The sequence below is a fragment of the Homo sapiens genome, chromosome 9, assembly GCF_000001405.40.
Source record: "Homo sapiens chromosome 9, GRCh38.p14 Primary Assembly".
NCBI classification, from domain to species: domain Eukaryota; kingdom Metazoa; phylum Chordata; class Mammalia; order Primates; family Hominidae; genus Homo; species Homo sapiens.
In genome coordinates, this window is record NC_000009.12 from 92,445,604 (window position 1) to 92,455,522 (window position 9,919).

The following is a 9,919-nucleotide window of genomic DNA, read 5'->3' on the forward strand; positions in this document are numbered from 1 at the left end:
CCGGGCGTGGTAGCTCACGCCTGTAATCTCAACACTTTGGGAGGCCGAGGTGGGCCAATCACCTGAGGTCAGGAGTTGAAGACCAGCCTGGCCAACATGGTAAAACCCTGTCTCTACTAAAAATACAAAAATTAGCTGGGCGTGTTGGTAGACACCTGTAATCCCAGCTACTTGAGAGGCTGAGCAGGAGAATCACTTGAACCTGAGAGGTGGAGGTTGCAGTGAGCCGAGTTACACCACTGCACTCCAGCCTGGACGACAGAGCAAGATAATGTCTCAAAAAAAAAAAATGCTGTTATTAAGATAATAATAGGGATGGAAGTATATATGAAATGATTGGTTATAAATTAATAATTTTTGAAACTGAGTGAGAAGTATACAGAAGTTTATTATTTTATTCTTTCTACTTTCGCTTCTGTCATAAATTCTCCTTGGTAAAAAGGTAAAGAATAAAAGTTGCTAGCACTGTAAATGTAAAGAAAAAAAAACTCTCCATCACTGGAAGTCTTAATACCAGGACTTTATACAAATGATTGTGCCTTGACTGTAAAGCCAAGGAATGGCATGTGCTTTTGTGCCTTAGCCTGAGTTGTCCCAGTGTTTCTGCCTCTTTAGACCCTCTATAATTTCATTCTTTTTCTATATTTGGGTTCATTTTAAAGCAGCTCCTTAATTTTTTATTATTTCTCCAAGAGAGATATAACTGCTGGAAATGTTTTCTTTGTTATAGCACTGGTCAGAGGTGATTGGGAAAATCGGTTTCAGAGCTCCTCAGAGTCTATAATAGAAACTATAATGAATGCCTCCATTAATAAATACTTAATAAAAGTGCATTGGGGAAAAATGCCGTTTGCCCCTTCCTCTGTGTAATGTAGAATATAACAGTGTATCTCTAAATAGTAACTGTAGTCTGTTGTAGAGCTATAAGGTAAAGTGAGCTACTGGAGTGGAAGAAGATATAGCAGATAAAAACACATTGTGTTCCTAAGGTGTGAATAAATTTTTTTTCTTTTCCTTCACTAATAAGCATCATTCAGTGATTTCATTCAGAAAAGTATATTGAACAAAGGCAGCATGTTAGCTTTGGGGAGGGGAAGAGAGGATGCAAAGATGACTAACACACAGTCCTTGCAACCAAGCTATCTAAAATCCTCTGGAGAATATGAAAGAACAGACCAAGCTGGGCAACAGAGTGGGACTCTGTCTCTTAAAAAAAAAAAAAAATAGAAAAGAAAAGAAAAACAGAAAGAGAGTGAGGGAGGGAGAGAAAGAGAAAAAAAGGAATGAAGAAAAGGAGGGAAAAAGGGAGGGCTGGAAGAATAGTCAACTATGTATTCATCTCAGCTCAGTAAATCAGCACTTTAGGTAAGATAAAGTAAACAGAGTAGCTACCTGTGGGGACATCTGGCCTTCTAAATGTTTCAAAACAAAGGAATGAGTTGCTTGCATGATTCAGCTTCGAGCTTAACTTTTCCTCTTTAACATAGTGTAGCGGACCCCAGACTTTTTGTCACCAGGGACCAGTTTTGTGGAATACAATTTTTCCACGGACAGGCATGAGGGAGGAAGGAATGGTTTCAGGGTGATTCAGTCGCATTACATTTATTGTGTACTTTGTTTCTATTATTATTACATTGTAATATATAATGAAATAATTATACAGATCACCATCATGTAGAATCAGTAGGAACCCTGAGCTTGTTTTCCTGCAACTAGATGGTCCCACCTGGGGGTGATGGGAGACAGTGACAGGTCATCAGACAGTAGATTCTCATAAGGAGCATGCAAGTTAGATCCCTCACATGTGTGGTTCATAATAGGGTTTGCACTCCTATGAGAATCTAATGTCACTGCTGATTTGACAGGAGATGGAGCTCAGGCAGTAACACAAGCAATGGGAAGTGGCTGTAAATACAGATGAAGCTTCACTCACTTGCCCACCTTTCACCTCCTGCTGTGTATTTCAGTTCGTACCAGTTGTGGTCCATGACCCTAGGGTTATAGACCCCTGGCATAGTGAATTTGGGGTCCTGAGATTTTGTTTTCCTTTCACATATTCCAACAAGAATGTGATTGTGATACAGTGACTGAGAATAAAAAGGAAGGAATGGATGCAAGAAGCATGAGAAGGTAGGGCAGGACTTGGCACCTGGTTGTCCGTAGAGATGCAGGAAGGTTAGAAATCAGCTGAGCAACTCCTAGAAGTTTAGAACCTGCACAGCTGGGAGGAAAAACAGAGTCAATAGGGACCTTATGAGTTCGAAGGAAATGGTTTATGATGTTCATTTTGATTGAGTTTTATGCCACCAGATGTTTAAGTTTGCTTCTGAAAGGTTGCTACTTTTGAATGAGGTAAGTGTTTGAGATGTGGATTTTGAAGGACTCACCCTAAAGGTAATGATTACAATGGATGAAATTTTTAGGGAATAAAGAGAAGAGACCAAATGAAGGATATTGGGGAACACTAGCCACTAAAGGACAACCAGAAAAGCATAATGTGTGTTAGCAAAGTTGTAACCACCCAAGGGTTTCTTCCAGCCCACTGCACAAATGAAGACTGCAGCATTGTAGTAAAGAAAGAGTTTAATAGACACAAGGCTGGCCACACCACGTGGGAGATGGAGTTAGTACTCAAATCATCTTGTGGGTTAGGGGTTTTTCTCTTTTTTCTTTTTTTTTTTTTGAGAGAGTCTTGCTCTGTCACCCAGGAGGCTGGTGTGCGGTGGCATGATTTCTGCTGACTGCAGCCTCTGCCTCCCAGGTTCAAGCGATTATCCTGCCTCAGCCTCCCAAGTAGCTGGGATTACAGGTGCCCACCACTATGCCCAGCTAATTTTTTTGTATTTTTGGTAGAGACGGGGTTTCACCATTTTGGCAGGCTGGTCTCGAACTCCTGAGGGTTAGGGGTTTTTCAAAGGCAGTTTTGGAGAAGTGGTCAGGGAGGCAAGGCTTGCTGCTGATTGGTTGGGGCAGAGATGAAATCCTATGATTTCATCTCTAGGGGGGTGTAAGCCGTTCTCCTGTGGGCTGAATTGCTTCTGGATGGGGCCACAGGAATGGGATTGGAAGGTCCAGGTGAAGCCGTAGGTGTCAGCCATGCAAAAAAACCTGAAAAGGTATCCCAAAAAGCCAGTCTACAATAGTTACGTTATTTCCAGGAATGGCTGACAATCTATGTCTACACCTTAGCAGAATCGGGCTCCTCTCTTCACCCAGTTCATGGCCTTCCATTAGCTTTACAAAATAAGCTGAGTTTTGGGCAAGGTCTATTACATTTAAACTATAGCCTAAATGTCTTCCAAAGTTAGCTCAGCCCAAAAGCACAGTGATAATTTAAGGAAAGGGAAGATGGAGGGTAGGTTAGTCAGATCTTTTTTACTGTCATAATATTCTCATTGATATATTTGCAAAGGTGATTTCAAAGTGAACAGAGATTTTCAAGAAAAATAGTGTATCATCATAGTTAAAAGCATGGAGCTAGACTGCTGTATTCAAATCCCAGATCTGCCACAAGTGATTTAATTTCCTTAGCTCCTACACCTAAAAAAACAGATACAGGCTGGGTGTGGTGGCTCAAGCCTGTAATCCCAGCACTTTGGGAGGCCAAGGCGGGCGGACACGAGGTCAGGAGATCGAGACCATCGTGGCTAACACAGTGAAACCCCGTCTCTACTAAAAATACAAAAAATTAGCCGGGCGTGGTGGCGGGCGCCTGTAGTCCCAGCTACTCAGGAGGCTGAGGCAGAATGGCGTGAACCCAGGAGGCAGAGCTTGCAGTGAGCCAAGATTGCACCACTGCACTCCAGCCTGGGTGATGAGCGAGACTCTATCTCCAAAAAAAAAAAAAAAAAAAAAAAAAAAAAAAAAAAAAAAAATACCAGATATAAGTAAAAGTACCTCATAGGGTTATTGTGAGGATTAAAAGTAAGGCATTTAGAAGAATATCTGAAAATGTTCTTTAAACATCAGTGATATGGTTTGGATCTGTGTTCCCACCCAAATCTCATGTCAAATTTTAATCCCCAATGTTGGAGGTTGGGCCTGGTGGGAGGTGATTGGATCATGGGGGCGGATTTTCCCCTTGGAGCAGTTCTCATGATAGTAAGTGAGTTCTCATGAGATCAGGTCATTTAAAAGTGTGTGGCACCTCCCCTTTCTCTAGCCAAGTGAAATGCTGCTCCCCCTTCTCCTTCCGCCATCATTGGATGCTTCCTGAGGCCTCCCCAGAAGCAGACTCTGCCATGCTTCCTATACAGCCTGCAGAACTATGAGCCAATTAAACATTGTTTATAAATTACCCAGTGTCAGGTATTTCTTTATAGCAGTGTGAGAATGGACTAATAAAATCAGCTATTATTGTTTAATGTTATTTGTATAAGATAATTTTGGGAAAATAGATTAAGGAGAATTGTTAGGTCAGCCACAACAGATTAAGGTCCATGTGAATAGAAAGGTAATACAGACTGAGGTAAGGCAATTCTTTCTTTTTATTATTATTATTATTATTATACTTTAAGTTTTACGGTACATGTGCACAATGTGCAGGTAAGTTACATATGTATACATGTGCCATGCTGGTGTGCTGTACCCATTAACTCGTCATTTAGCATTAGGTATATCTCCTAAAGCTATCCCTCCCCCCTCCCCCGACCCCACGACAGTCCCCAGAGTGTGATGTTCCCCTTCCTGTGTCCATGTGTTCTCATTGTTCAATTCCCACCTATGAGTGAGAAGATGCGGTGTTTGGTTTTTTGTTCTTGCGATAGTTTACTGAGAACGATGATTTCCAGTTTCATCCATGTCCCTACAAAGGACATGAACTCATCATTTTTTATGGCTGCATAGTATTCCATGGTGTATATGTGCCACGTTTTCTTAATCCAGTCTATCATTGTTGGACATTAGGGTTGGTTCCAAGTCTTTGCTATTGTGAATAGTGCCACAATAAACATACGTGTGCATGTGTCTTTATAGCAGCATGATTTATAGTCCTTTGGGTATATACTCAGTAATGGGATGTCTGGGTCTAATGGTATTTCTAGTTCCAGATCTCTGGGGAATCGCCACACTGACTTCCACAATGGTTGAACTAGTTTACAGTCCTACCAACAGTGTAAAAGTGTTCCTATTTCTCCACATCCTCTCCAGCACCTGTTGTTTCCTGACTTTTTAATGATTGCCATTCTAACTGGTGTGAGATGGTATCTCATTGTGGTTTTGATTTGCATTTCTCTGATGGTCAGTGATGGTGAGCATTTTTTCATGTGTTTTTTGGCTGCATACATGTCTTCTTTTGAGAAGTGTCTGTTCATGTCGTTCGCCCACTTTTTGATGGGGTTGTTTGTTTTTTTCTTGTAAATTTGTTTGAGTTCATTGTAGATTCTGGATATTAGCTCTTTGTCAGATGAGTAGGTTGCAAAAATTTTCTCCCATTCTGTAGGTTGCCTGTTCACTCTGATGGTAGTTTCTTTTGCTGTGCAGAAGCTCTTTAGTTTAATTAGATCCCATTTGTCAATTTTGTCTTTTGTTGCCATTGCTTTTGGTGTTTTAGACATGAAGTCCTTGCCCATGCCTATGTCCTGAATGGTAATGCCTAGGTTTTCTTCTAGGGTTTTTATGGTTTTAGGTCTAACGTTTAAGTCTTTAATCCATCTTGAATTAATTTTGGTATAAGGTGTAAGGAAGGGATCCAGTTTCAGCTTTCTGCATATGGCTAGCCAGTTTTCCCAGCACCATTTATTAAATAGGGAATCCTTTCCCCATTGCTTGTTTTTCTCAGGTTTGTCAAAGATCAGATAGTTGTAGATATGCGGCGTTATTTCTGAGGGCTCTGTTCTGTTCCATTGATCTATATCTCTGTTTTGGTACCAGTACCATGCTGTTTTGGTTACTGTAGCCTTGTAGTATAGTTTGAAGTCAGGTAGCATGATGCCTCCAGCTTTGTTCTTTTGGCTTGGGATTGACTTGGCGATGCGGGCTCTTTTTTTGGTTCCATATAAACTTTAAAGTAGTTTTTTCCGATTCTGTGAAGAAAGTCATTGGTAGCTTGATGGGGATGGCATTGAATCTATAAATTACCTTGGGCAGTATGGCCATTTTCACGATATTGATTCTTCCTACCCATGAGCATGGAATGTTCTTCCATTTGTTTGTATCCTCTTTTATTTCATTGAGCAGTGGTTTGTAGTTCTCCTTGAAGAGGTCCTTCACATCCCTTGTAAGTTGGATTCCTAGGTATTTTAATCTCTTTGAAGCAATTGTGAATGGGAGTTCACTCATGATTTGGCTCTCTGTTTGTCTGTTATTGGTGTATAAGAATGCTTGTGATTTTTGTACATCGATTTTGTATCCTGAGACTTTGCTGAAGTTGCTTATCAGCTTAAGGAGATTTTGGGCTGAGACAATGGGGTTTTCTAGATATACAATCATGTCATCTGCAAACAGGGACAATTTGACTTCCTCTTTTCCTAATTGAATACCCTTTATTTCCTTCTCCTGCCTAATTGCCCTGGCCAGAACTTCCAACACTATGTTGAATAGGAGTGGTGAGAGAGGGCATCCCTGTCTTGTGCCACTTTTCAAAGGGAATGCTTCCAGTTTTTGCCCATTCAGTATGATATTGGCTGTGGGTCTGTCATAGATAGCTCTTATTATTTTGAGATACGTCCCATCAATACCTAATTTATTGAGAGTTTTTAGCATGAAGGGTTGTTGAATTTTGTCAAAGGCCTTTTCTGCATCTATTGAGATAATCATGTGGTTTTTGTCTTTGGTTGTGTTTATATGCTGGATTACATTTATTGATTTGTGTATATTGAACCAGCCTTGCATCCCAGGGATGAAGCCCACTTGATCATGGTAGATAAGCTTTTTGATGTGCTGCTGGATTCGGTTTGCCAGTATTTTATTGAGGATTTTTGCATCAAAGTTCATCAAGGATATTGGTCTAAAATTCTCCTTTTTTGTGGTGTCTCTGCCAGGCTTTGGTATCAGGATGATGCTGGCCTCATAAAAAGAGTTAGGGAGGATTCCCTCTTTTTCTGTTGATTGGAATAGTTTCAGAAGGAATGGTACCAGTTCCTCCTTGTAGCTCTGGTAGAATTCGGCTGTGAATCCATCTGGTCCTGGACTCTTTTTGGTTGGTAAGCTATTGATTATTGCCACAATTTCAGAGTCTGTTATTGGTCTATTCAGAGATTCAACTTCTTCCTGGTTTAGTCTTGGGAGGGTGTATGTGTCGAGGAATTTATCCATTTCTTCTAGATTTTCTAGTTTATTTGCATAGAGGTGTTTGTAGTATGCTCTGATGGTAGTTTGTATTTCTGTGGGATCGGTGGTGATATCCCCTTTATCATTTTTTATTGCGTCTATTTGAATCTTCTCTCTTTTCTTCTTTATTAGTCTTGCTAGGGGTCTATCAATTTTGTTGATCCTTTCAAAAAACCAGCTCCTGGATTCATTAATTTTTTGAAGGGTTTTTTATGTCTCTATTTCCTTCAGTTCTGCTCTGATTTTAGTTATTTCTTGCCTTCTGCTAGCTTTTGAATGTGTTTGCTCTTGCTTTTCTAGTTCTTTTAATTGTGATGTTAGGGTGTCAATTTTGGATCTTTCCTGCTTTCTCTTGTGGGCATTTAGTGCTATAAATTTCCCTCTACACACTGCTTTGAATGTGTCCCAGGGATTCTGGTATGTTGTGTCTTTGTTCTCATTGGTTTCAAAGAACATCTTTATTTCTGCCTTCATTTCGTTATGTACCCATTAGTCATTCAGGAGCAGGTTGTTCAGTTTCCATGTAGTTGAGCGGTTTTGAGTGAGTTTCTTAATACTGAGTTCTAATTTGATTGCACTGTGGTCTGAGAGACAGTTTGTTATAATTTCTGTTCTTTTACATTTGCTGAGGAGAGCTTCACTTCCAACTATATGGTCAATTTTGGAAAAGGTGTGGTGTGGTGCTGAAAAAAAAGTATATTCTGTTGATTTGGGGTGGAGAGTTCTGTAGATGTCTATTAGAGACTTAGACTCCCACACAATAATAATGGGAGACTTTAACACCCCACTGTCAACATTAGACAGATCAGTGAGACGGAAAGTTAACAAGGATACCCAGGAATTGAACTCAGCTCTGCACCAAGCGGCAATTCTTTCAAAAAGGGATTGAATTGTGAATGAAAGAGAAATAGTATGGTAGCTTAAGGGAAACGAAAATTGAAATTTTTTAAAAAAAGCTTTTGGAATGCTGGGTGTGGTGGCTCACGCCTGTAATCCCATCTACTCTGGAGTCTGAGACAGGAAGATCACTTAAGCCCAAGAGTTTGAGACCAGCCTGGACAATTTGTGGAAAGACCTCATCTCAGGAAAAAAAAGAAAAAAAAAAAGTTTTTGTTTTAGTGACTTCTAAATACCTCATAATAGTTAAAGAAAATCACTTCAGTAATTTAGTCCTTCATAAACCCAATAAATAGTAAGTCACTTGTTTTCAATCTTTAATGGATTTTTCCAGTGGGTAATATTTTGTATTCACCAGAAAATGTGTTTTTGGCAGTAAATGTTAATGCAGTTTTGGTTGTTTATGATTTTTATTAGTGATTTGTTTTTTGCAAACTTAAAACCAAAAATGGCTAACAGCTGGAAGATTGAAAATACAAACATAAACCTCAGTGAATTAATTGCAGGGATTTCAAGAATCATTTCCAGTATTTTAAAATTTTGGTTTTGTCTTTTCTTTTTGTAAAAAGATTAACTTGGCTACTTTAAGCTCCACTATTCAGATCATAGATAAATCTGTCTTTTATTCTAACCTTAGTATTTACCTTATGATTTTAATGATGAATTTCAAGATGTTGGGTTTTTTCAATGTCAGTAAACATTTTTTACTTTTACATATGTTCTTATAAGTGCCATGATATCACAATTTTTTGTTACATTGTAGAAAAATTTATTTTGTTTATTAAAGCAATTGAAACTTTAGAATATTTTAATTTTTGAGTGATTATTATAGTATTGTTTTCTTTTATCTTTAAGGACTTCATGATCTTTTATTTTTCTTTGTAAATGTTTATGGTTTACAAAGCATTGCATATATATTTTTATCATTTATTCTTCATAGCAACCTTGTTCAGTGTTGTCACCCCTACCCTTTATAGGTGAGGAAGCAGGCTCAGAGAGGTGGTAACTTGCCCAAGACTATAAATGGAACTGGATTTCCAAGGCAAAGTTCTGCAACCCGGGACACTGCTGGTTCTAGCACTACTGGTGGTGAACATTTATTATTAAAATCATACTATCATCATCCCTCTACTCATACCATGGTCTTCCCTCTTTTTTTGCTCAAAAAAGTAGCAGTTTTGTTCTAGGTTTCCAGATATGTCATTTTAGAAATTGACTAACTTTCCTGTAAAGCCGTTGTTTGCAACCTGCTGAGATTTTGCCCTACCTTCCACCACTCCCTGCAGGGACATTTGTCAATTTCTGGAGAAATTGTTGTTTGTCAAAACTATAGAGGTAGAGGGGAGGCTGGATGCAGTGGCTCATGCCTGTAATCCTAACACTTTAGGAGGCTAAGGCTTGGAGGATTACTTGAAGCCAGGAGTTCAATATCAGCCTGGGCAACAAAGTGAGACCCTGTCTCCACAAAAAATTAGCTGAGCACAGTGGTATGCACCTGTAGTCCCAGCTACTTGGAAGCCTGAAGCAGGAGGATTGCTTGAGCCTAGGAGTTTGTGGCTACAGTGTGCTATGATCACACTGCTGCACTGAAGCCTGGGCAACAGAGCAAGACTCTGTCTCTTAACAAAATAAAAAACAAACAAAAACCTGTGGAGGGCAGGGGACGCAGGTGTTACTGCCATCTAGTGTGTAGAGACCAGGGTGCAACTAAAAGATGTACAGGGCAGCCCCTGCCGCAAAGAATGACCTGGCC

General features: G+C 39.7%; 1 protein-coding gene across 4 annotated transcripts in view; it reads left to right on the forward strand.

Moving 5' to 3' along the window:
* The window catches only part of CENPP (centromere protein P), a 295,062-nt gene that overhangs the window by 120,136 nt on the left and 165,007 nt on the right, over positions 1–9,919 (forward strand). The window lies entirely within an intron of this gene.